This window comes from Homo sapiens, chromosome 1 (genome assembly GCF_000001405.40).
Source record: "Homo sapiens chromosome 1, GRCh38.p14 Primary Assembly".
Lineage (NCBI taxonomy): Eukaryota > Metazoa > Chordata > Mammalia > Primates > Hominidae > Homo > Homo sapiens.
In genome coordinates, this window is record NC_000001.11 from 207,796,293 (window position 1) to 207,822,705 (window position 26,413).

The 26,413-nt window shown below is 48.8% G+C and overlaps 2 long non-coding RNA genes and 2 other non-coding genes across 5 annotated transcripts, besides 6 other annotated features; 1 reads left to right on the forward strand and 3 right to left on the reverse strand.

Moving 5' to 3' along the window:
- Window positions 2,333-2,432: an enhancer, noted in NCBI's record as "active region_2450". NCBI's record gives its function as "activates an Ori minimal core promoter by ATAC-STARR-seq in GM12878 lymphoblastoid cells {active_cell/tissue: GM12878}" and the evidence as "EXISTENCE:reporter gene assay evidence [ECO:0000049][PMID:35858748]".
- Window positions 2,543-2,682: an enhancer, noted in NCBI's record as "active region_2451". NCBI's record gives its function as "activates an Ori minimal core promoter by ATAC-STARR-seq in GM12878 lymphoblastoid cells {active_cell/tissue: GM12878}" and the evidence as "EXISTENCE:reporter gene assay evidence [ECO:0000049][PMID:35858748]".
- Window positions 2,973-3,102: an enhancer, noted in NCBI's record as "active region_2452". NCBI's record gives its function as "activates an Ori minimal core promoter by ATAC-STARR-seq in GM12878 lymphoblastoid cells {active_cell/tissue: GM12878}" and the evidence as "EXISTENCE:reporter gene assay evidence [ECO:0000049][PMID:35858748]".
- On the reverse strand, window positions 5,226-26,411 carry MIR29B2CHG (MIR29B2 and MIR29C host gene). 2 transcript variants are annotated; one of them, NR_135299.1, is made up of 6 exons: window positions 25,912-26,411; window positions 22,670-22,854; window positions 20,947-21,122; window positions 19,637-19,788; window positions 9,713-9,805; window positions 5,226-6,370 (listed from the first exon to the last, which is right to left on the reverse strand). It is a non-coding gene; the product is annotated as an MIR29B2 and MIR29C host gene (long non-coding RNA). The 2 variants fall into 2 exon arrangements; NR_135298.1 differs by lacking the exon at window positions 22,670-22,854.
- On the reverse strand, window positions 5,560-5,647 carry MIR29C (microRNA 29c). Its single transcript, NR_029832.1, has one exon. It is a non-coding gene; the product is annotated as a microRNA 29c (primary transcript).
- On the reverse strand, window positions 6,151-6,231 carry MIR29B2 (microRNA 29b-2). The gene has a single exon (NR_029518.1). It is a non-coding gene; the product is annotated as a microRNA 29b-2 (primary transcript).
- Window positions 9,375-10,574: an enhancer, noted in NCBI's record as "MED14-independent group 3 enhancer chr1:207979012-207980211 (GRCh37/hg19 assembly coordinates)". NCBI's record gives its function as "activates an origin of replication core promoter dependent on BRD2, BRD4, P300/CBP and CDK7 cofactors, and independent of MED14, by STARR-seq in HCT116 cells {active_cell/tissue: HCT116}" and the evidence as "EXISTENCE:reporter gene assay evidence [ECO:0000049][PMID:35650434]".
- On the forward strand, window positions 22,087-26,304 carry LOC148696 (uncharacterized). The gene has a single exon (NR_026817.1). It is a non-coding gene; the product is annotated as an uncharacterized LOC148696 (long non-coding RNA).
- Window positions 22,672-22,966: a silencer, noted in NCBI's record as "tiled region #9321; K562 Repressive non-DNase unmatched - State 2:TssF". NCBI's record gives its function as "represses a minimal TATA promoter and a strong SV40 promoter by Sharpr-MPRA in K562 cells {active_cell/tissue: K562}" and the evidence as "EXISTENCE:reporter gene assay evidence [ECO:0000049][PMID:27701403]".
- Window positions 26,102-26,281: an enhancer, noted in NCBI's record as "active region_2453". NCBI's record gives its function as "activates an Ori minimal core promoter by ATAC-STARR-seq in GM12878 lymphoblastoid cells {active_cell/tissue: GM12878}" and the evidence as "EXISTENCE:reporter gene assay evidence [ECO:0000049][PMID:35858748]".

Genomic DNA, 26,413 nt, shown 5'->3' on the forward strand with positions numbered 1-26,413 from the left:
ATTTCTAGTGTAATTGATCTGGGATGTGGTTTGGGTGTAGGGATTTCCAAGCGTCCTAAATGATTCCAAAGTGCAGCTAAGGTTGAAAACCCATGCATTAGTAAATCTCAAGCCCCACAGTAAATTTTTCTATATAAACTTGTAAAGATAGAAGTTAAAGGCTTATATTTATAGAAGAAAATTATGGCTTTCTTAATTCAGCCTATTAAATCAGAAAATTTCATTGAAGACTTGAATTAAGGTTTTGTTGTTTGGCTAACTGAACAAGGCTAGCTGTTGTTTAGAAATACAGAAGCATTGTCTCAAATAAACATAAAAATACAGAAGCATTCTGTTTAATAAAACACTAGGTGAAAATTATATATATATGTGTGTGTGTGTATATATATATATATATATATACACACACACACACACACACACACACACACACACACATATTTTGAGATGGAGTTTCGATCTTGTTGCCCAGGCTGGAGTGCAATGGCACTATCTCGGCTCACCACAGCTTCCACCTTCTGGGTTCAAGCGATTCTCCTGACTCAGCCTCCTGAGTAGCTGGGATTACAGGCATGCACCACCGCGTCTGGCTAATTTTGTATTTTTAGTAGAGACGGGGTTTCTCCATGTTGGTCAGGCTGGTCTCGAACTCCCAACCTCAGGTGATCCGCCCACCTTGGCCTCCCAAAGTGCTGGGATTACAGGCATGAGCCACCGCACCCGGCCTGAAAATTATATTGACTATGAATAGAGCATTTTGGAAAATCTTATGTGACCTTGAGACTGTAATGTATTTTTTAAATTGGGATAAAATACATGGGGACAGTTAGTTACTTTGTAAGGTAACTAACAATAAATCTGTAAGAATGCTGAAGGGACTTGGGATTAGAAGGAATATGAATTTGTGGTGTTCAAGTAGATTTTAGGGTTTGTGGGAAATAGTCAACTCTATGGTATTCTAAAACTTAGTAATGTCTTTCAGCTAACATTTTAACCAAGAATGAGCTTTTCTGCATATTTTTAAATTTTGCATACTTGTACTTAAGTAGGATTTAACATGGAGTCTAATAACTTCCAGAAATGATTCAAAATTGAGTGATTGTACATACAGATTTTTTTTTTTTTTTTCCTGGACTACACTGTTTTCATCAGAATTTCTAGGCTCACTCAGAAAAGGTTACACTAGTATGACTAATCCTTTGTAAATCGGAGCACTGCTGCCCTCCTGTGGACTGTCACGGCATTTGACAATCCCTTCCTTACCAGCTCAAACCTAGTCACTATTCAGAAGTTTGAGTCATTGCTGTGATTCCCAGAAGACATTTTCAATTTCATTTGGGATATGGTATAAGACTAGTCCTCTTCTCCTTCCGTGAAATCAAAATTATTTTTTGACACAGGATCTCGCTCTGTCACCCAGGCTGGAGCTCAGTGGCTCAATCACAGCTTACTGCAGCCTCAACCTCCTGGGTTCAAGGGATCCTCCCAACTTAGCTTTCCCCAACAGCTGGGACTACAGGTGTGCACCACCATGCCTGGATAATTTTTGTATTTTTTTTTTTTTTTTGTAGAGACGGGCTCTCGCATGTTGCCCAAGCTAGTCTCGAACTCCTGGCCTCAAGCAATCTGCCTGCCTCAGTGTTCCAAATTACTGGGGATCCAGGCATGAGCCACTGTGCCCAGCCAAGATTAACATTTTTAAAAGAGTTTTAAATGCTGTCCCTTATTGCTTAAGTATAGGAGAAGTATAATATTGTGGATCTGTGGTCAATAAACAATTTTTCCTTCCCTCTCACATACCAGCAGAACGTTTGAACAAATTGCCAAAAGTATAGATAACATTTGAAAAAGCCGCCCTTCCTGATTCCTGATTCGATAGTACATAGCCCAGGGAAACCTGTACAGAGGTGGTAAAACTGGTGTTAGGAGACTCCACCTCCATTTATAAGATTTACCTCTCTCATGTAGCTTTTTACAAAACTAAACTATAATAATATGCTGCAGTGTGGCAAACCCTGTGCTAAACTACTGTAAACAGGAACCCCTGTAAACAGTAATCCTGGTGTTTGGGGCTTGTGGCTTCATTGAGAGAGAATTCAGGAACAAATGCTTAGAGAAGCACTTCAGAATGGTGTTCAGGAAAATTATCTATCGTCTGATTAATCTCCTCCACCTGAAAGCGTTCCTAGGAAAAATACTCTGTAAATTTGTATTTAAGTTGGGACTTGAGAATTCTTTGGTTAGGTTCCCATAGCATCGTGCTTCTCAAGTCTTAGTGTGCTAGTGAGTTACATGGTGATCTTCTTAAATTAGAATCAGAAGATTCAAAAGGTATCGGTTGGGGCCTGAGGTTCTGCATTTCTAATGAGTGCCTAAGGAGCTGTTTGTGGTGGGCTGTATGATGGCCTCTAAAGATATCCAAGTCCTAATACCTGGAACCTGTGAATGTTACTTTATATGGCAAAAGGGTCTTTACAGATGAGATTAAGAAAATTGAAATAGGGAGATTATCCTGGATTATCCAGGTGGGGGCCCTAAATGTAACCACAAGGGTCCTTCTAAGAGGGAGGCAGGGGGAGATGTGACTGTGCCAGAAGACAACATGGCCACTGAAGCAAAAGACTGCCCCGCTGGCTTGGAAGACAGAGGAAGGGGGTGCAAGCCAAAGAACGCAGCTCTAGCAGCTGAAGAAGGCAAGAAAACCTGTTCTCTCCCGGCGCTTCTGAGAGGGCGGGTGGCCCTTGCAGTCCAGTGAGCTGATTGCAGGCTTCTGGAATCTGTAACTGTACAAATGTGTGTTGTTTTAAGACACCATGTTTGTGGTAATTTTTTAGGGCAGCCACAGGAAACTAACACACCAGTGCTGGGGGCCCTCAGACCACAGTGAGTAGTAAAGCGTTTTAGGAACAAGACCACAGAAGAGAGGCTCTCAACTTTAAAACAACAGTGATGTCCAGACCCATTCCCAGACCAGCAAAACCAGAGACTGTAGGGATGGGACCAAGGGAACACTAATTTAAAGGCTCTTTGGGTGAACTGAATAGGAAGATAGGGTAGGGCACCATCATACTAGAATAAACTCAAAAATACAACTTTTGTGTTCAAGGAAAACTCTCAAGCTCCATCGAAGTATGGACACACTAGTCTGCCAGGTACTCTCCTGAAACTACACACCAGCTTCTCAAAGTGAAGGTCTGGGCCAGTATGTTACACAAATAATTGTCCAGTTCTAGACTTATTTCTGTTTCACCTAAATTGGCCAAATATTTGACTTGTCTCATCCATATTTATTAAGGACTCATCAGTGTTTTACTTCCACAGGTGGGATTTTCCAGTCCAACTTGCATGAGTCTTGAAGGTGCTGTCAGTCTAATAAGCCTCCCCACTCAATATTTTTTTCATTATCTATTCACCAAGACCCGCTTATAAATTTACAGCTAATAAAATCTGGTAAAATTTAGATAAGCAGGACCCATGTCCTACAAAGCATTTTCTACCTAGGTTGATAGCATGGCTTCATAAACCCGATTCAAGATGCTGTCTCTGGAAGAAACAGTCTACATAATTACCAATTTATTGTGCAAAACCACCTCAGAATGGCAATTTTAGATAAAGAGCTGTCCGCATCCAAATGAATAAAACAAAATAATCCTGTTTGAGGCACCGCAGTTACATTTTGCTTCTCACGACTTAGCAGTGTGGCACTATTTAAGCATTCAATGAGAGTGCTATAAACTTCTTTTATAGAAAAGACGTCTCAAATCATTGTTTTTGTGCTTTAATGCTGCACTCAATTTCACACTTACTCGTTTGAGGACTGGAATCAGGGCCTCCTGAGAGCAAAAATCTGTCGTCTGTATTTGCAACACCTAGGCTGGAGCTTTGAGCGTGGTGGGCGGATCAAAAACTGTTTAATTGGTAGGTAGTACAACAGACCCCAAAAATGTCTGACCTATAGGTATTTAATACTATTGTAGCCTATCTCAGTGGGAAGTGAACAAAACAATATAACTTAGGGTCTTAACTAACACCACCACTTAGGGTCTTCCCACCACATCCTGGGGATTAGAACATGGGTTCTTCCATCAACAGCCTGAAATAGCACTGCAGCTGCAGTGAGGGGGTGCAACATATGTACTGGCAAGTCTTCCCAGCAAATGCTACTTCCGCCCCCCACTCTCAGCCCACTGGGCAGGGCAGCCATCTAGAGGAAGACTGTGGCAGGGGGTTGGGCTTAGAAATGGCTTCCTAGGTGGCTGATTTGCCATCATTTATTGCAAGCCACTGGCTTAAAAGAGTTCTACTGAGGGTAGTTCATAGTCATGCACCTCCTGTGCAAAAAGCCTGATCAAGGGGCCACAGCCCGCCTTCCTGAAGATCCTACAAGCTTGATCCCCTATCAAATCAAATCTGGCTAATCTCTGAATAGCTTTACAAAACTGGCTCACTGGGCCAGGCGAGGTGGTTCACGCCTGTAATCCCAGCACTTTGGGAGGCTGAGGTGGGTGGATCACGGGGTCAGCAGTTCGAGACAAGCCTGGCCAACATGATGAAACCCCGTCTCTACTACAAAATACAGAAATTAGCTGGGCGTGGAGGTGCCACGCCTGTAATCCCAGCTACTCGGAAGGCTGAGGCAGAATTGCTTGAACCCGGGAGGCGGAGGTTGCAGTGAGCGGGGACAGTGCCATTGCACTCCAGCCTGGGTGACAGGGTGAGACTCCGTCTAAAACAAACAAACAAACAAAAAAAAAAAACAAAAAAAAACTGGCTCATCTTGTTTTGAAGTGTTGACATAAACTAATAGTCAAAAGCACCACTCAATCTTTTATAATGCAAGTGAAATCAGTGCTGTGCCCCTTCAAGGAACCATGTGACAGTATGTTTAGTTGAGCACCAGTTCCTTGCAGGAACAGTTGCTGGCAGAAGGGCTGTGTCTACAGCCCATGTGGAACTAAGGAGTTTTCCCATTCAGTAGGGAGCATCCCTCAGCCTTGATCTTCAACATTTCTTCTCTTCCCTAATCTTTTCTCTCATTTTATTTCTTGGCTCATAGAATTTCATTCTTCTCTTAATGGGCTTCATTTTTAATGTCTGGCTGGCTGTAACCTACTTCAAATTCTTTATGAAGTAGGCAAGATCTGCACAGCCAATTAATTTTTCAGGACCCACTTCTTATCATCACAGAATTATGAATGGGAAATAATAGATGAAAAACACAGACATGATAAACTGAACATAGTATTTATTAAGGTCAGGATGCATGAATAGACTCTTCTCAACAGAAAGATAATTCAACAGCAATCAATTTACAGAATTTAGAACAGCACTACATTTCAGCAAAATGCAACTAGAGAACATCAGATAAATTATAGTAATTTGTTTTTAAAAATCCATTAAACTATCTCTTACCTCTGCAATAATGTATCATACATGCAGTTACAGAAGTTAGTAGGGAAAAGCATGATCTTCCTTCCCTATTCTCTGCCCATCCATCTTCCAGGAAACCACAGGCTGCTGCTGCCCAGAGTTGGCATGAGGCTTCGAGGCTGCTGCTTTTCCCCCTACATCATAACCGATTTCAAATGGTGCTAGACAAAAACAGACTCTGAACACCAGGAGAAATCGGTCAGCCTGTGTAAGAGATGGGCCAGTGGTGCTCCCAGGGTCTGCACCTCGACAGTCCAGGTGGCAAGTCTGATTTCGGGTGCCCCGCAATCAACGCCGAATACTCCAGGGCATCCTCTAAGAGCAGACTGATGGTGTCGATGTGGACAAAATGGTCCTCCAGGTGTACTGCCCTCTCCCCTGCCCCATGACAATCGACACCCAATACATTGTTATCCAACAGAATATGACAATCGCCACACTCAAAGGCCCTACGAACACATTCATGCTGGTGATGGCTGCTAGGAGTCAACAGAAATAGCATCACAACCTCTGCCCCTGCTCAAGCCACTGTGTTTATTTTAAACACAACCCCCTTCTCTACTGTCACCTCTCCCAAAACCCAACAAACTCAAGAGTGTATTTTGCTCTTCAAGTTCTTCCCTGGACTTCTCGAACAGACTCAAGTGGCAAGAGGAGAGGAGCCAGTTCCATGAGCAGCAGTTCCTCTGCAGTCCACCCTTGGCTGTGCTGCAATTCTTACTCCTAAAACACTGATTTCAAATGGTGCTAGATACAAAGATGGAAAAATCTAAGCCACCATGTGAAACCAGCTTCCAGAAGAAGAGGATCTCAATGAAGAAAGAAGGGAGATTCAATCGGAAGACCCAGCCTCTGCCCTGAGGAGAAATATCTTCTTGTAGTTCTACTTGTGATATGACACAGTGCTCCATGGGAAAGGCACAGAGGAGGTTACACAGGGCTGCACAAGGCAACATGAAAGGCACAGCTGATGCTTCAAATAGATGAGAGCAATACAAAACTCATTAATTCTAGGTTAATTCTATTTAACTTCACACCAGTCACTACAAATTATTATATATGATGAAATAAAAGCTAAAATTATTACTAAAATACATTAATATTTACATTTGTACTGCCCTGCATTTGTATAGTATTTCACAGTACACAAAGTGTTTCCAGATATATTCTCTTACTTCATCAGGACACAAGCACCCTATCTGCCTGTGGAATGAAGCTCCAGCTGCTACACAAAGGCGAGTCTCACCTGGGCCAGGACAACTCTTTTATGTGTCTTAACTTGAGAAAAGCATGCATTCCTCCTTCCCACCCCATATGTAAGTATCAGAACATTCAAATATGACCCCATGAACCTGCAATCTTATTTAACCCCGATGTGACTTCAAAAACTGGTACCCTATAATTGTATTAAGCAGATAATCCTCTAACGTAAGAATTGAGTTTTATTTTCAAAGTCTGCTTGAAAATAAGATTTGCACACTGTATTCCAAATTAGATTTCCCATCTCCTTACTGCATCATCTTTTTTGGTGGTTTGAAGCTAAGAAAATATGTGTATTTCCTCTGATACCATAACCAAGAGAAAAGAGACAGAGTAGACACTGTATATTTTAGCTTCCTTTCAGGCCTCTAGATACAGCCTTATAATTTTTATGGTTCCTGGCACTAACAGTATGTGTTGCTAGAAGGAGAAGAAATAGAATTTGAACATCAAAAGTTGCGGTGTTTAATTCTCACAACAGTCGTATGGGGCAGGTATTATTCCAATTTTTGCGAAGAAATTCATCCTTAATGAGGCTAAATAACTTGTCTGCAGTCACACAACCAATCAATGCAGATCCCAGGTCTAACTCCAAAGACTGTGTTTCTGCCCTTGTATCCACTGCAGCCTGCTCCATAACTTGACTATCATCTCATTTTGTTCTTGAACTTCATTAAGAACAAAACAGGGTGGGTGGGGCAGGAAATTCCTAGGCGATACTTCTGCACTGAATGGGATCATACTGACTACATAACACGTTATACTTAGGGGGAGACAGGAGCATCATCTGGGTTCTGCGAAAGCCGGGTGGTCTGGGGCAGCTTGCTTTGTTCTCCTGCTCCTCTAGCGCCTTTGCCGTCTTTCCCCAGCATGTGGCTGTGGGAAAGACACTGAAGATGAACCTGCAACAAGCGATTCTGACACCAGCGCTAGGCTCTACAGCCCACGGGGGACTTGCTAGCCTCAGTCACAGGTGGGAGAGCTGGGGCAGATCTGCACACAAGGGCTCTCAGTGATGACACCTGTAGCCAACACCTGGGGCTTGTTAACCAGGTAACAGCCAGGGTTGTAAGGTCAGGAGTGAGTGTTTAAGGACAGTTACTACTGGGAGTCCAAATCCTGTCAAATGAGGGGATTTGATGAGATTCTCACTTTTCTGCTTTTCATTTTAGCCACTCTTCCTTATCAACTTTTAGTTACCAGTACCCCCTCCCTATGAGCTATCACACAGGTGTCCCGCAGTGATCAGAAAGCACCTTCCTCCATGGCGAGGTCCTGCCTGCCTAAGCTGTTGTCTCTTCTGGAATACTCTCCTTCACCCTCCCTTGGCTACCACCCCTCAGCCCCGCCCCCACCCACCACCACTCCAGGGAACCTGTCATCCTCCCCGCAGCTCAGGAAAGCCTCCCTGAGTCCAGCCCTTGCTAGAAGGTTAAGTGGTCCTCGCCAGCCTCAAGTTCTTTCCTTCAAAAACCACTTATCTCACTTGGTCATCAGTGTGATTATTTAATGTCTCTCCTGCTACCCGTAAGGGACCATTCGGAGTACAGCAGAGGGGCTGTGCATAGCAGGACGCCACTGCCACTGAGGGAGTTAACAGAAGCCACAGTCTGGGTCCCCACTCCTGGATTCTAAAATTTAACTCTTTACTCTCTGGAAGAAGAGATAAGAAGCCATTAACAATGCATCACTTTAATTAAACACTCTAAAAGAAGTGGAGAAAAAAATCATGTTAGTATTGAAATCCTTTGCCTTTCCAATTCCACTGGATAAAAGGGGTCCTTCAGGTCTCAGCCCTCCCAACAGAACCAGTTTTCTCCTCTCAGAATCAGCTGAGCAATGACTCTTCGCTGAAACAAGCTGGTGGCTGTTCCCTACTAGGAAGCAGCCAGTTAGTTTGGTAAGGGCTGGAAGGGGCTTGCTTTCCCTGGCACCATGCCTGAAGGCCACCTAGACCTGTAAGAAGGCAGCCCATGAAAATCCCAGCCTGCTGAGAGCTCTGCCATCCAAGGAGGGTGATGGGTTTTACCCACCTCAGCCTAATGACTCCAAACAAACTGGCTGAAGGTGAAAGGGTTGGCAGGGCTGTCTGGGGAGGAAAACCACCCATCCAGAAGGGTGGGCATGTCAGTCTTACGAGTGCTGCCACGCATGGGAAAGGTGTGGGAGCTATACTCTAGCCTGGTCCACTTCTGTCCCCACATTCTACCTGGAGGCTTCTCGACCTCACACCAGGGCATTAATCTGCTTGGGCACACAGTGAATCAGAACACAATGGTTTTAATACCTGCTTGGCCCCAACTCTGAGAACAGGGACCTGCCACTTGCCCTGAATGGGCCTCAGTGTCTTCATGTGTAAAGAGAGGAGGCTGAGGTAGGCTGCTCACAGCACATTCAAATGCTCGGAGGGCTTGGGCAGGAAACCTGAGACAGAGAAGCAGCAACAGCATGCAGCAGAAATACAGTGAACTGGAGAGGCCATATTTTGTCTAAATGCATGCAAAATCAGATACATTAAAATAACCCTAGCCAGGTGTGGTGGCACCTGTAGTCCCAGCTACTCAGGAGGCTGAGGCATGAGAACTGCTCGAGCCCGGGAGGCAGAGGTTGCAGCAAGCTGATATCGTGCCACTGCACTCCAGCCTGGGCTACAGAGTGAAACCCTGTCTCAAACAAAAACAAAAACCCGTGCAGGCCAAACACACCTGAGGGTTAAATACCATCTATAGGCTGTTGGTTAAAAATAGTTTGGAGACTGCAAAGACAGCTTCTACTTCATTCTATAAATGATGCTTTGTCTTTAAAGCCTAGCATGGTACCTAAAAAATAACATGGGAGGAAAATGGGAAGGTGAGGGAATCCTTCTTTCTGAAATCCATAGGCAAACCCACTGAACAAACAGACACTGGTCCCCAGTTACCTAACCCTGCTTGCTTGTGCTGCGCTACCACAGTGTGTGCAAATCCAGAACGTGGGAAGGTTCTGCCAAGGCAGTGCTGGGTGCTGAGTCACAGCTACTTACGTGACTGATGTGTGTTCCAGCCAGATGGGGGGAGCCGGAAGCCAAGCCCAGATGGCCATCTTCTTTCCTCTGGGAATGCTGATTTCAGGGCTCCTGGCAGCAAGGAAGAGCTCATCTTGGTGAGAGAGGGGCCTGGGGAAGGCTCTTTTGTAAAAGGGGAATGTCTTGCCCTCAAGAGACAGTCCCAGGCCATTGCATGTATAAACTGAAAGGGCAGTCCAGCTTCCTGTCATTCTAGGCAGCAGCCTGGGCATTCTGTCTTTAGCTGTCAGGGTGGGGGCTGTGAATCAGAGGGAAGGGTGATAAAAGGAATGGTATACACATGAGGGGCCAAGGGTGGAGCAGAGGGAGCATGGAGTTACCGGCTGGCCCAAAGTCCCCAGAAACCTCCATCAGGCTCTTCCTTTCTGGCAGGGTGGCCTTCAAAGGAGGACTCAGAACCCAGGGACCACTGCATTTCCCAGGCCCTGAGCCCCAGTGTGGGAATCACATCCTCCAAACCCACAGTGCCCCTCAAATTCCTATTCAGGTAAGAAGGCAAAAAGTAACAGCCTTCCAAGCCTACGTGGACCCAGCATCGGTTTTTCTGGTTTCCCCTGCGTCAGAGGTATGGAGGTCTATGTTCCTAGGCAGCTGCACTCCTAAAAGTTCAGTTTTCCATCCCTCCCTTAACACTACTGACATAAACCCCAGACTCAGTCCAGGCACGGGGGCCCTGGGTCGGGACTGCTGGCTGGATGGGAGGATGCACCAAGGTTACCCTGCCCCTGGGATGAGCTGGGGGGACAGCAGGAGACAGTGGAGGGCAAAGGGAAGGAGGAGGAGTGGAATGAAGACTGGAGCTCGCGTGTCTCCATGTTCCCCCAGTAGAAGGGCTCAGCTCTGGCACAGAAGGATGGGCATGTCCCTGAACTGCTTTCAAGAAAGCTAGTGCTTTCTGCAAGAGGAAAAATGAGCATACCAATGGTCTATTACACAAACACAATGCCCACCACAGAGTTCATGGGTCCAAACCAATGCAGATCCAAAGGCAAACCACCAATGCTGCTCCCTGGTCATTCCTAAATCATCTGCTTGACTCAGTGAAGATGGAGTCAAAAGTGAAACCACAGTCTCAGGTGAAACCTAACTCTGGAGGTAGGGAGGGAGACGCCCCAAAGCCCAGCTCCCCCACCTCCCCCAGGCAGAGCTGGTGACCACTTCCTTCAGCCACTGGGAAGTAACTAACAGATGCAGTATCCTACCAGGCACCACACTCACAAGACGGCATGGCTGCTCTCGCTGGGAGAAGCACGTTCCTGTTCCCAAGAGCTCCTCCAGAGACATGCCCCAGCCTCTTGCAGCACAGCCTCTGCTCCTCCCTGGAGGGAGAGCACAGCATCTCAAAGGAGAGAGCATTTCAACAAGTCAAACACTCTCCCCAGAGCAGAGCACAGCCCAAGGGGGGCACCAGGAAGCCCAGGGTGCTTCCTGAACTAATCTCTGAGTGGCAGTTCTCCCCAGTACCTGGGCACACACCTGGTCCACACACATGGACTGGGCACACCCTGTGGCGTGATGTAGTTCCACTTCCCTAATAGAATGGAGGGAGGCTGGGCCAGACAGAGGGTAGATTTGAATCCAAAGCCAACTGCAAGCCCACTTTCTCTCCTTCCTCTTTGGCTGGCCCAGCTGGTAGCTGCACCTATGGTGCTATTCCAGCCTCATTCTGCTATCAGGACCTCTGTCTGCCAGACTCAAGAACAGTGAGTAGCAGGAGGAGGAAGGAGGAGAAAGGAGGGAGGAGAGAGGAGGAAGGAGGGTAAGAGGGAGGGAGGGACTCGGGAGAAGAGGTGGAGGAGGAAGTTTCACAGTCTAGTGCATTCCCATCAGATCAGAGAGAGGGGAACATGTGCAACTTCCCTTTTCAAGCGTTTCTCTGCCCCCCATTTTGTTTTGGTTCCTTCCCCTCTGGCCTGGGGATGGCGCGGCTAGTGGGCTATGCAGGGGCAGGCGCCCAGGTACCCAGCCAACTGGGCTCTCGCCCGGCTCCATCTCAGGCCTGGCACGCTCCCTCAGGCCGTTACCCAACATGCCCTTCTCCTTGTCAGGGAGGCCGCGCCCTCTTGTTTTCAAAGTTTTATAACAGTATTGTTTGTTGTCCAGCAGATTAAATTCTTTGGAGGCTGGGGAGTGGGGGGAGGGTGAGTGAGAGAGAGGAGGGAAAAGAGAGGAGAGAAAATACAAATAACTTCTATTAGGCCCAAAATATTAAATGAGTTCGCTTAACACAAAGTTCACCTGTCTTGAGAGAGGCTAGTGGCCAGGAGCCTGCGTTCCCTTCTCTGTCTGTGCCTGACCTCTCTGACCCCCTTCTCACCTAGCAAGGGATGTACGGTCTCAAACTTCCAATACCACTCCTCGGGTCAAGCTGAAAAGCAGTACCAGCTAATAAGGCTGGAAGATGCATGTGTGAGCACCACCCTCCAGGCAGGACACATGACATAGCGTTGGGCAGGTCCCTGCAAGAACACCCTTGACTCTCGTCTCAGGCGTCTGGCCGAAACAGTCCAGGGCTATTGGGGGAAGGGCATCTGTAGGCAGCTGCTGGAGCCCTTGTCTCAGAGATGGCTTGTCCCTGCCGTGAACCAGTGGTTTGTTTACACTTGAAATCAAAGTCACATATTCATTGATGCCAATGACACTGGAAGAACTGTACCCCAAGGAAATAACACAACTGCATAAATAAATATTCACGTAGACCTAAGGAATAAGAGTGGGAAATAGTAATGAAAAGAGACAAAAAGTCATTATAAAATAAGCATGATCTTACGGACAGGGCCCATTTCAGCATCCTCAGCCTTTCAGGCCTGTTGATGCTAAATCTGTAGGTGGTGATGACACACAAAAAATATGATTTTCCATATTTAATACAACTCTCATTTAGCCATTAACTGATTTATTTCAGACTGTGGGTTACCGCTAAATAGTAGGCCTATTTGAACACATCCCTTTGCCTTTAGTATAGCAGGCAATGTCTGTGGCTCCCAGAGTTGTGGGCCTGCCCTGGGATGTTCCTCTCCCACCTCCTACCTTCTTCCCAGCAAACCATGTCTGGCCTTGCGTCCTCTACACGGCCCTCCTCCCTCCCCACCATAGGATTAGAGCAGCTCAGCACTCTTTCCTGGAAAAGATGAGGGACAACATGCCTTTCTCTTTTTTTATATGCAAATAACACCAGTTCCTATAAGATCAGTGCCAGAAGTTCTCTCTGCAAAGGGAAACAAGGTCAAAGTTCCAGATTCGATGACCACATTGGTGTACCCTGCCCATGCATCCCCTCAATTGCATCCAGCTTGGGCCTGTCTTGAAGACAGATGGGAAAGATGGAGAGAAATGCCTGCTCTAGATCCTGGCACCCAAACCTCATGCTGTTCCAGGGACTGTCTCAAAGTGCCACAGACTTGGGACTGGGAGGATCCTGTGGAGGACACCGAGTCTCCTACCTCAAATAAAGAGGCTTCATCTTTCCTCAGGAACCCTCAGCAGAGGTGATGCACAGTTCTCCCAGAAGTCTAGCCCAAATCACTCTCCTTGCTGCAAGTTCTGCCCACTCTCTTTTCCATCCTTCAAGTGGACAGAATGAACTGGATCCAACATGACAAATCTTCACACATGAAGCTACAGAAGGCTTTATCCACTAAAACAATTCCGCTGTGGATTCCCCATCACAGGGTTTCAGTATGAGCCAAGGATGCATTCAGGAAATACCAAAGGACAGACATTTAGAGACACATATGCATGCTGCCCCTGTCCAACCTCAACTGTCCTAAAGGAATACCCCCAGAAAAAGCCTAAACCATCATGGCTAAATCCGCTGTAAATAAAGATAAACCATTATTTCCTCCTTCATACAAGTTCTGGGTCTATTTAAACAAAGGTCACTCAAGAGGGCTAACTGGCCAAGAAGTCCTGCTGTCCAATACTCTGCCTTACCAGCCCTTATAAAGAGTGGGGGATTATGCTCTGCCTTTAAGGAAAACTGACACCCACGAGTTCTCTTACCCACCTTTCTCTCTGTGGGTAAGCCCTACTTTTTCAAGTCAATCATGAAGCAGACACTCAGAACTAAAGCCAGTGTTTCTAGTCCCTTACTTTACATTGTACATTAGCCAAGGCTTCCAGCAGGCGCTGTACATTAGCCAGCAAACAGGTAGCATACACACAACATGCATGCTGGGCAAGGCTCAGGGCATCTCTTACAAATGTGTTGGAAAAATTTCAAAAACCCTACACTGGGCCTCATCTCTAAGTGAGCTGCACTCAGCAGAAGCATGCCTGTGTGCATAGGCATGAGGTGCCATACAGATGTGTCACAGTGGTTTGATGCATCACATATTCCAGAAGCTTCCAAATACAGGAAACCTCTCCAAGAACACATGGTGAGTGGCTGGCTTCCCAGCCAAAAAGTGCAAGCCAGTTCTCACAAGAGCTCCAAGAAGTCTGAAGAATCAGAGAGTTGGAGAACCTGGACATGCTGAGGTTCCGTTTCCCATTCAACACATAGAAAAGGCATCTCTAGGCCCTCTAAGGCCTTCAGAAATTAAGGAAACTGCCAAAGACTCCACTCCCCTACTCCTGTCCCTGCCCCACTAGTCAGAACCCAGAGAAATAACAGCTGAAGTCAGAGGACCTAGATGGGAGACCCACGAGAAGCGGCTACAAGCAGTCAGATCTTGGCAGGATTGACTCTCAGGTTCAGTTTTACCAACGACAAGGATAAGACCACCTACCCTCTCAGGGTTGTGTGAGGACCAAATGAGCCAGCAAGTATGAAAAGAACTATGTGAGCTGATACGATGGTTATTACTCCATTCCTCTCCTGCCTGAGTCCTAGCCCAGATCGCTGTTTGCTATTCCATACTGGCAGTGGGGTGGCACTCAGCTATTATTAATCCCAGGTAAACATCCCACAAAGCGGCAAGCAGATAGTGTCTTGGAGAAAGGTAGCTATTTTAAAACTCTACATTCTGCTTAGCAGATTGCACAATGTGCCCCCTCAGCCCCAGGGGCTCCTACCCACACAGCCTTGCAGAAGTGGTGTACGTCTGGGACTAACGCTGCCATGGAGAAGCTAGGCCAGAGTCCCAGCCACTCCTAGCCCCCATCTGGCTGGGCCTGGGACCTTCGGCTTTCCTGCATGTGTTTTATTTTGCTATCTTTTTAAGAGTGACTCAAGACTAAAAAGCCAAAATGGAACCAGTGGCTCTGAGATATTTTTGTTTATTTTTTATTTTTTTCATTGTTATTTTTTAAAATTAAATTTAATTTTTTAGTCGAGGGCCTCAAAAAATACATGAAAAGAGAAGGCTAAATATAAAGGAAAACTTCCTGACAGCAAGGGGCACAGACCCTCCCTCAAACCACAGCTGCATTCTCTCTCCAGGGTTTAGGGCCAGACAGGACGGAGCATCTTTCCTAGAGCAGGGTCCCTTGGGTCAGCCCCTTGCAGGACAGCAGGCACCCCCAGCAGCTCCCACATAAACCCATCTCCAACAAGCCTCCCGGGGGAAGCGCGTAGCCATGTCCCCTACCACCCGGTGGATCCTCATCAACACCTTCACGAAACCTCCAGCCCTCTGCTTCCACTTCTGGGAGGTCTTTAAAAACTACCTCCTCCCACCCACCCACCCTAATTCCAACAGTACCACTTCAGCCGCTCTGAGACAGGTCATCAAGATCCCTCCCCTTCTCTTGTGGAAACCTGGGCCTAGTTTTCCTCATCTTGAATTACTGGCTAAGGAACATCTCCATGAACATTCAGGGAGGCCCCAGGATACAGCTGGAACCTCCAAAGAGATTCTGGTTCCATCCCCTCATTTCATAGATAATGAAACTGGAGCTGAAAGGAGGAAAGTGAGTGAGTTTTTACCAACAAGAGCTAGGACCAGAATCAGGGTCGGCTGACTCAACACAGAGCAACACAAACCCCACTTTCCTGACCCTCCTCCTCCCTGAGCACCCCCAACTACACTACCTCATCCCTGTGCAACTTCAGACCCCTGGCAGCAGATGGCAGTGTGTGCAGTCCGGCGGGTCAGCTGTCCATGATCAGCCAAAGAGCCAACAATCACATGGCCTGACTCCGCAGGTCCGCTGCCTCTTCCACCAAGTAAACAAGTCCCGAGCCCTGGAGCTACATGCGCTGAACACATGACACATGCCTGCCCTGTCCCCAGCACCACCAACCTGCCTCCGCCTCTCAAGACACAGCTCAACCAAGCATCTGGCACAGGTCACTTCTCTATGCCTGGTGCCCATCCCTTCCCTATCGTGAGACGATTAGCTCTGGGAACGGCTCGTTCTGGCAGGACAGGCTGAGTTCAGAACCAGCCTCCTGCAGGAACATTTGACCAATGGCTCGGCAAAGACCTAACCTGCACGTTTCCCTGTGCTGCATGGACAAGTGTGGGGCACAGTGACCAGGCTGAGGAAAGAAGTCAGCTGGTGCCTGGGAGGGTGTGAGGCAGAAGGCCAACAGCAACCATGGCAGACAGGAGAGAACCAGTCTGCCGGAGACCAAAGGCTTGACATCTACTCCACCTTGATCCCTGACTCACGACAAGTTCCTGTAAGCCATGGGGACCTTGGATGGATTTCCCAAGTTATTAGGAAAAAAGAGGGGGTTAGTTTGTGTCAGTCCTAACTCCCTGAAGGAAAGCTCAATTGATGTGGCTTCAGATGGCTGAGGTCCTAAGTCTCTAGAACCCTCTGACCATCATCTGAATTCTCCTCCTTATGTGTGTGGGGGGTCCCCCTTTTCATCCCCACACAATCTCCATATATGTCTACCCTGTACATTTTTAAATTCTTTTTAAAAATCATTATTAGCGGTGTCTCTCCACACTAGAATGTATGCCCCATGAAAGTGGAAAGTTGGCTTTGTCAAGTTCTGTATCTCTAGCGCCTGGCACAGTCCCTGGCACATAGCAGAGGCTCCGTACACAGCAGCAGACGCCATGTACTGGCCTTACTCAGCTCTGCCTGTCCATGGCTACCAAAGGGCATTTGGGTCTGCCCTGCCTCCCCCTAAAGGAATGCGGCACAACCGTCCCCAGTGACTGGAAAGTTCCTTCGGGTGTCTGCCTTTTCACTCTGGTTCACATCAGTCCTCTGAGAATCTTAGTTCACAAAAATGTCTGACTTCAGCCCAAAAGAGTAAAGATAACGTAGAGGCTTTGGAATAAGAAGTGCATGCATTTAAATCTCAACAACCTCACTTACCAAATGCATAACCTTGGGTTAAGTCACTTAATCTGTTTCTTTAACTATAAAAGGGAAGTGATCCCTATGTCATATGGTTGTTCTGAGGATGAAATCAGATAAGGAGAGGAGAGCCCTTTAAAAAGGTCAGTTTCCCTTGGACCAACAACTCTGATGCCCATCTCATACCTTCATGCCTCATTATAGACCCTGATCGGGGCACCATCCTACCTTCAGTACCAGGCACTCAGACGCAAATCCTTCACAGGAGATGCACACATCCATCCTGGGCCATGACAGGCAGCCCTGGCTGAGCACTGGACTTGTCCTCCCACACCCTCCTGGACTTGCTCCTGTGATCTAACCACACATACCACCTCCCCACGTGGCTCTATCTGCCCCCATGTCCCCAGTCCATCCCTGTAGGCTTGACACTATGGTACCAGGCTCCGCACAGGCCATGGGGCCCTGGAGGTGTTCTCTGGCTTTATCAGCCCATGAGCAGCTCTTGTGGAAGGAACCAGCAAGAAAGCAAACTCAGTCCATGCTTTCCTCACAGTCACTCCAAGTCTCAGAAAAGCAAAGCAAAATGAGGGCCTCCCACAGACAGCCGGCTGGTGGGAAAGGGTGGTATCTCTTACATATCTCAGAGGGAGGTAACACGCCCAAAAAAAGTGACCAGCACAAGGTACAGATCCTCTCTAAAGCTGTGGCTGCAGCCTTAGGGACACTCGAGCCAGGGGACAGAGCCAAGATATGCATTAAACAATTCACAGAGCTGACCGGACCAGGATTCAATGGAATAGAGAAGGTACTGACCAATCAGGGCCCCTGGCAGGGCCTCTCCCCCACAACTCCCAGCCAAGCCACACCACCTCAGCTCCAGAGCCACCAACTCTGTTAACCTCTGCTGGATCCCGGATGGAGAGGCCCCATGCTGCCTCCTGACTCCCAGACCTCAGAAATTCAAAGGTCAAGAAAAAAGTGCCAGATATGCTGGCCCCTCTCTCAGGAGATACCAACTGTTCTGCTATCCTCATTGGGAACACACAATGCCCCATGTCATGTGTGTAGAACCCAGGCTGGTGAGCAAGGAGGAAAAGAACCAGATGAGGGACAAAAATAGGAAAATCAGCAGGGAAGCACCAATCCCAATTCTGGAAACATCAGAGGCCAGAGAGATAACTGCATGACCACGAGCAAAACCAACCTCCCCTTTACTTCCCACCCTGGTTTTCCCAATCTAACCAAGGACAGGGCTATTCGTGGGAGTGGGGATCACGAAGAGCCATGCCCAGGGACACACTGCACATATGAGGGCTGAGACTCCCAAGCACAGCCAGCAGCTACGTCTGGCTCCAGCCCTACAGCCAGGGCTGGCCAGACTCTAGCCAACACTTCTTGAGGGACTTGGCTCACTCCTTTTAGTCTCCCCAGCTGCACCCAAGTCGATATCTCTCCACTCCAACACCCCCTGCCATCCCTCACTGCAGTACTGCTGGAGGGCTGAGACCTGTCAGGGTCCTTGAAGGAAGAGACATCAGATTCTTCCAAACAGCCCTGGGTTCCTCAGGCTGTTCACAGCCAACCTAGAGACTCACCTCAAATGGACAGAGGAGAAGAAGAAATAACAGGAAGCAGAATTGGCCAATCTTCCCTGGATAGCAACGGGAGCAGCATGGGGAAGAGGAACCCCCCACCCCCACCGAAACATATGAGCAGAGAGAGGCGACCACTGTGTGGCCAGAGGTAGGATCCCATAGGTACCTCCGAAAATTACCCAACATAATTCCTTTTATCTTTAGAGCCCAGACCAATCTGCTGTTGGCTAATTCCAACTGGCTTTACTGGCCAAGAATGCTGTAGTCATCTACTCGATAGGAGAGAGACTTCCTAGTGATGTGTGGGCACCGAGAGTCTGCTTTGTGAATTGTATCAATGATGCCACTGACCTCCCTGATTCTGCAGGCCGTCATCATTTTTCATTTTTAATCACCATTGCTATTACTGTGATCGGCAGCAAGTGAGGCAGAAGAAAAGCATTTCTTTGTCAACTTCCTAGAGATGCTTTGCAATGGCTTACTGGACCAGGGATTTTGTTTTTTAAGGCAAAGGTAATGAAGGCCTAGAGGAAGAAAGTGGCTCATTCAAAGAAACCCCAAAATTAGGGAGAGTCCCAAAGCTCACTGCTCAGCCCAGTCCAAACTCCAGACCACCAACCTAGACTAAGCCCCCTCAAGGCAAAATGTATCTAGAGTTAAGACAGGCCATCCACTGAGACTACACAGGGGAGAGAATCCCCAGGCACCAGGAAGGCTCCCAGGATTACCGAGGGGTTAAACCCAGAACCTCCTGCTGGATGCTGGAGCCAAAGAGAGTTTCTATTACTGTGGGAGGCCCAAATGCTCTGCCAACTGCCACACCCAGCAACACTACCCAGCTATCTCCCACACGTCCGCACAGCCCGACCACTTCAGCTGCCCATTCTGCCCCCAACCCTGTGCTGGTTACTAACCCCACACAGAAAAGCCAGAAGGAGAAGAATGCAAAAAAGAGAACAATCGTTTGGGAGATTCTGAATGGAGACGTCTGAGGATTCCCCGGCGGAATAAGGAAAATGGTGTTCGTGGGAAGGAAGGAGGATGGGGGAAGGCTGGAGGGAGCAGCCCACACTGGACTTACCTGGGAGGCAGAGAGCGGTTAAATCCTATTTCCTTGCTGCATCCAGTTTCCAGTAAGCAGCCTGGTGATGATTCACTGACAAGACTGGGGTCATGTCGCATCAGTCAGCACTTGTGGTCACAAAACCACAAAAATTGGTGGCTCAACAGCACCTATGAGAGGAAAGAGGGGAATATCCAACCCACCCTGCCCTGAACCAGCCAACACAACATGCTCACCCACCACCAAAACTCCTCCAGAGGACAGCTGAGCCCTCTCTGCCCAACTGGAGCCAGATCTCCAGAAACCCCAAATGGGTAAGGATGAAGAGTAGACACAGACCCAGGATGCCAGTCACTGTGTTTGCCCTCATATATCCTAAAGAAAATCAAAGGGAGGAGGAAGTGGTGGAGGAAGGCAGGGAATGCAAGAGGTCCGAAAGAAGGAAGAGAGAGGTCAAAAGACATCCTTAGGCAAAGCATGGCAAACAGGAAACCAGGAAGAGAAAGCGGAGGCAGGGCTCAACTGTACCCTCAGCCATGTCACATGCCCCTAGCTTCTCTCCCTCTAAGCTCAATATCCATCGCAGAGCTATTAGCCCTTCCTGGCCCTCATCCCACATCAGCACCTTCATCTAGCACGACCTTTCAATCTATCAGCATCTGCAATACAGGAGGAAAGTAAGCAGCCCTGAACCAGACAGACAGACACACACACACACACACACACACACACACACACACACACACACACCCCTTCCCAGAATAAAAGGCCCTTGGAGATGGCTCATGCTCTCTAGGTTCTGGTTCTCTGATAGAAGTGCTCCACTCCCACAGGGGAGGGCAGACACGTCTGATAAGAATTGCTTAGCACAATGCTATATATAGTCTAGGTTCCTACCAGCCTGGAGATGTGGAGCTAGAACTTGGCAGAGAACCATGCTAGGTGCTGGCAAGGACCATCCTCCCACTGCCAGCCAATGGGGAGCCTCACTTCCCGGCTGGGGGCCGTGAGGGCACACAGGGTCCTTCCAGGCAGCCCATTAACACTCCACACTGAGGGACACAGGCTGTTGGCTCCATTTTAGGGAAAATCAACTTCTCCCAAATGTGAGGGGGATGTGTGGGGGCTGAACAGCAAATTCTAGCTTCTCTGCAGCTATCCAGTAGCATGAGAAAATCAATCTAGTCCTCTCTTCTGGAGGACTAAGGGTGGGGTGTGTGGGAGAAGAATGGAGAAGGCATAGCAGGTGGCTGGGCTCAATAAACATCTACCCATTTCTGATGTTCGAAGAAATAAAGGAATGTAAAAGAATGCAGATGAATACTTACTGCAGAGAGCGGGGCTGCCAGGCATCTCCTTTTTTTGTTCCAAATACATGCAAGTGAGCCACTCTATCCGGCAGTATGACGGCTGTCTCCGGCACACTGGCACCATCCTCAGCTGAGCCTGAGTCGCCAAGAGGTTGTCACCCACTCACAGAGCAAGCTGCACTCTCCTGAGTCCTCTATGAGGAAGAAGAGAAAGGAAGATAGGTGGGCTCAGCTCACAGAGCCAACCAAGCAATGAATCCAGCAGATCCCAACCAGGGGCCCATCTGGGTTAGTATGTGGCTCTGGGATGATGACCCTTAGCTGTTGCCCGCCATCCAATGAAAGACGCAAGACAATGTTGGGCAAAATGACATGGGACCTATGTCCTGGAGAAAGGCCAGTAACAGAAGATGCAGGGTCTGATGAAGGAGGGTCTGTTTACCACCTCTTTCAGAAAATGAACCTGAGAGACCACAGAGCTGCCTGAAGCCCGAAATCCAGGCTCTTATCATATACACAGCTTGGGACAAAGAAAATGAGACACGAAAGGTTCCAACGTCCATATACATACAATCTTTTTAGGTCAAGCTGCTCTCTACTCGGGTGCAAAACATGACATGAAGCGGCTGTGTCTGCCTTTGCACTCTGAGTGGGGATGGCTGGCTCCCACCCCCTGCCCTGCTTAACTCTCTCATGTGACCTCGGTCACATCTCCCTGCCCTGCTCTGGCTCCCAAGGCCCAGGAGCCACTCCTACCAGAGATCCCAAATGAGTCACCCTGGGAGGTCCTTGGAGAGAAGAGGAGGTGCTCAGTGACAAATGTCACTGCTAGCATCATCCGCGGGAAAGCATGAGACTGAAAAATAGTACCCAGTGAAAGGAGGGAGGGGGCTGCGGCCAAGTTGTCCCTCATCCTCATAAGCAATTGTTTGTCCCTCTGCCCCACGCTCCAGCAGAGGGGGTAGAGAAGAGAAAGGGGAGGACGGTTTGTCCGCATTCAGTGGCAGTGGAGGTGCATCTTCTCTCTCGGTCGCAAGAAGGTGGGGTGGGGTGGGGCGGGGCGGGGCGGGGCGGGGCGGGGCGGGGCGGGGCGGGGCGGGGCGGGACGGGACGGGACGGGGCGGGACGGGGCGGGGCAGGGCGGGGGGATCACGCGCCTATAGCGCAAAGCTGCGGTATGGAGAAAAGCCTAGAACCCACAGCCGCCATGATGACGCAAACAAAATTAAAAGGGTCAAGAACTCAAGGCCCACTGTTTCACCTAAGAAGAAAAGGAAGAAGATGAAGGGGAGAAGAGAAGCTCTGATTTGGGTCAATATGGAAAGGGGAGGCTGACGCAGGCTGCCCAAGAGCCAGCCTTTAGCTTAGTGACGGTGATGCGGATCCGCCATCTTGAAGCGCCGCCCGGCAGAGGACTCTCAAGACGCCACAGCCCCACCACGGCCACTTCTCCCAAGGTACAGGTGCGCCCGCATTCACTGAGGTCGGCCTGGCCCACCCCTACCCCAAGAAGCGAATCGCCCTTCATTCAAGGCAATGACCAGCAAGACTATCACAAAGAGAACCACGGTGAAAAATCCCAAAGGGCTTTCTGGGCCCTGGGAAGATGTCTGTCATCTGGGACTAGTGGGAAGAACTCAAAAAGTGACCCTATTTGCCAAGCTCATCTAATAACACATACAGCTGTTATTTTCTTTTCAGACTCTAAAATGCAAGGGTTCCCAGAGCCCTGCTGAGTTACCTGGTGTCGCTCCCATCCTGATGCCCGGGCGGTGGCCGCCTTCTCTGTCCAGCCCTCCCTGAAAATGACCCCAGGCTAAGGATCAGCTCAGAGCCCCGAGCTGTTTTTGTAGCTTTCATGTTGACAGAACATCCTGGCCACTCTGCTGAGAGCTCCATCTCCCGGCTCCCGATACACTGAGTCATCTTCCAAAGAGGAAAAAAAACAACAAAGCAGCCGTCACCAGGGTCCCCATTGCCGTCGACTGACGACTCACTGGCTGTCGTCACACTCTGCTCCGCGGCCCCCGAATTGGTAACGAGGGGCTTCAGGGTGCCCAGCTCCCCTCCCGTGGGACTCAGCAGCGTCAGGGAAGCAGGCAGCCACTGCTGAGATTCAGAAAGAAGGGAAACTAACCTGGCATCAAAAGGCTCCCAGGAAAGCTCACTGACCCTCCCTCTGCCGTCACCAGCCCCCACCACTCAGATGCCATGGCATGTTCCTGATGCAGAAGTAAAGGGGTATTTATGGCAGGTGGGGGACAGTACACCTTGCAGGCTTGAAGGGCGTAACGCCTAGGTTACCTCCTCTGCGCCCCTGCTGTGATACCACTTAGGGCACAGGAGCTCCTGTCTCCCCCATTTCTTCTCTAGCCCCCTGCTATGCTCCCATTTTAAGTCCCTGATAAACCACTGGGTAGGGATGGGAACCTATTTGCTGCCAATATATTAGGCATTTCTGTATAACAGTTGTAGTAGCTCCATCTCACTGAAAACTTAAATCATATGACTTGTCTAAAGTCACTCAGCTAAGAAGAAGGATCACAATGAAAACCTAGGTCTGTTCAAGTCCAGTGTCTCTGCTCCCTGCTCTCTAATTCTGGAGCTTATTCTGGCTTTGAAGATGCTGTATCCCACTCCACCTCTCCCTCCTCTTGTACGAGGAAGGCAACCAGGATAACTGAGTCAGTTAATCCATCAATTTCAGCTACAAGAAAAAAGCCATCATCTTGAGTGAACCTGACCACAAAGGAAGAGGAGAAAGTTAATGACAGTGTCAAGGAACAGCTGAGGGACCCAGACCATGGACACAAGATTGACCACCCAAACTCCCTCAGAGCATTAGGGACTTACAAAATTCCTTAAATAGACAAATTTTGGGGATCTACTTCATAACAGCCATCTTGTAAACACCAGTAATTCAGAGAGGAAAAATGTAAAGGCTTTGGAAGACCAGGGCTCTAGTCATGACCAGGCCACTTACTAGACATGGGATGCTCCCCACAGGGCTGTGGAAAGGAGTAAATGAAGTAACTGCAGGGAAAGTGTATAACATGGTATCTGTCAAACAGAAGGCACCAAATAGGTATTTGTTTTCCTTCTCCTTTCTCTAGCCTCCCTCCTGGAGCTCCCAATCTGATAGGTGACATAAGACTTATACACAAATAATCATAACACAACAAAAGTACCATAAAAAGGGACAGACTGTATGGAAGTTTGGCTGAAAGGGCAGGGGTGGTTATGAGAACTGCTTCTTGCCAAGGAAATCAGGAGAGGTCCACGGAGAAAGTGAGACTGCCACAGGTGGATGCAGAGGAGAAGAGGCATGGAAAACATCACTGGTGAAAACAGATAGGAAAAGGAAGTTGCCTGGTTTTGTTGGAACCTATGGTCCACCAAAAGAAACTGAGAGAGGTAAGACTGTACAGGAAACCTAAGGCCAGTTACGGCCAGCATTGAGCATCACGCTAAAGGGAAGGAATTTTACTCTGGGAATTATGAGAAACCATTTTAAGTTTCTGAGCAAGAAAGACAAGATGGCCGCTGCACGCAGAAGGGCCTGGAGAGAGGGGGAACGGGCAGCGGGGAGCCTCACAAGAGGACTACAGCTGGAACCATGGCACTGGCAGGGGGCATGGAGGAGAAAGAGAAGAAAAACAGTAAGCAGGCAGGACCATCCGAACAGATCCTCAAAGCTGCCATGGACCTCACTTCCCTGTCCCCACAGGGAGGCTGCTGGAGACAGAGCCTATTTGGGGAACACAAACCACGGGTCTGACACGTCTGAGATGAGCTGCCGAGCCTCTGCCTCCACTCTCATTCAGACACTCAGCTTTTCCGAACTACTCCAAGCACCAGGCTGATGAGGACATGGGAAACCCACGCTCTGGCAAAGCCGGGCCCAGGTGTTGAACCCCTACCCAGACGCCTTCCACCTGAATCCCCACCCAGGACTGTGTCCAAGGGTGGGACTAGGCGGCTCTGCCCCTAGAGCCACCTTCATTGCGGCAGCCACCACTGTGCCTGCCTCTGCTGTGCTTTTGCCCCCCCTTCCCCTCCTCCGTCATAGCCCCCGCCCCCCGCCCACTCTGCGGAACTGGCACAGCAGGACAGAAAAACCAACGCCACCATGTCGGAGACCAGCAGAAATGGCTCCAAAATGGCAGCTCATCAGAGGAGTCCAGAAAGATCATAAACCCACCCAGGGAAAAGAGGGGAAGCCAGTGACAAGGGGAGTAAACTGTCAAAACTACCTCCCAACCAAGCCCCCGATAATCATCACATCTTTTCCTTCAGAAACATCCTCTCAAAAATCAGATGGGACATGAGTGAAAGAAGGGTGCCACCCCCTCCACCAGAGAGGCCCTAGGGGCCATAGGTGGTATGGGGCACTCAGAAGGATGTTCTGTAGCCTCTTCCCCAAGATGAGGCTAGAAAACCACCACTTTTGTCCTCAAGCTTGGCTCCTGCCAGTAACTAGACAAGAGTTAGCCCTCCCAGGGATTGCAGTCCTTCACTGCTACCCAGTCAGACCCTCCCCAGCTCTATGGGCCCTGGGGAGCAAGAAGGTAGGGTTGCAAGGAAGGGCCGAGAAGGCGCGTGCCATGCCCTCAGTTATGTAATAAGAAGGGCGGTGCTCGTCCTAGGCCAGAGACCCAGGGCGCACTGCGCTTCCAGATGCGCAGTCACGGGTGGGGGCCACTGCGCATGGCGCAGGGCTTGGTAAACCCCCTCCCCACAAACGTGAGACCTGCGACAAAGACAGGTTAGAGAGCCGGGACCCTGATTTTTCGAGGCCTCCCTCCCCCAACCAAAGGCGGACAGCCTGCTGCCCTAGTTTTATTCTGATTCTCCTCATTCCCTAGACTGACAAACCTTTCTAACCCGGGGCCTCCAAACCTCCCGTCTCCCACTGACTTTTCTGGAAATCCCACCAGATGCGGAGTTTCGAGCAATTTCCTGGGGTCAGTCCCCCATCCTCACCTTTCCAAGCACCACGTAGTAGTAGCTTCCAGAAGGTAGATCTTTCCCATACTGGGCTCAGCTCACAACTGGCTCTTGAGGGCCTCTGGACAGCCCCGGACGTCAATGCAAATCTGTTGTCCCCAGGGAGTAGCCCAGAGTCAGCAGGAAGCCCAGGGTGGTGGCAGTATCAGCAGCAGCAGCTCTGCCCTACCTTGCCCATGCGTTTCCAGGGGAGCCAAGAATTATTTTGCCGCAACACTGAGGTGTGGCTGATTGGAAAATTCCCTTTTCCAACACCAAACTACAGAATAAATATTTTCTTCCAATTTGGTCAACCCTCTGCATACCCATCTCCCTAGCATTCTTCCCTCTAAATAAAAAGTTTTGGGAGCCCTGAGCTCTTCCTCCTTATAGTGCGTGAAATTTTAAAAGGCATAGGAAGAGGCTTCAACTGGGCAGTCAAAAGCAGGCATAGACACAGGAGCCTACGCACACCCCTAAAGAGATTTTAGAAAGCTGC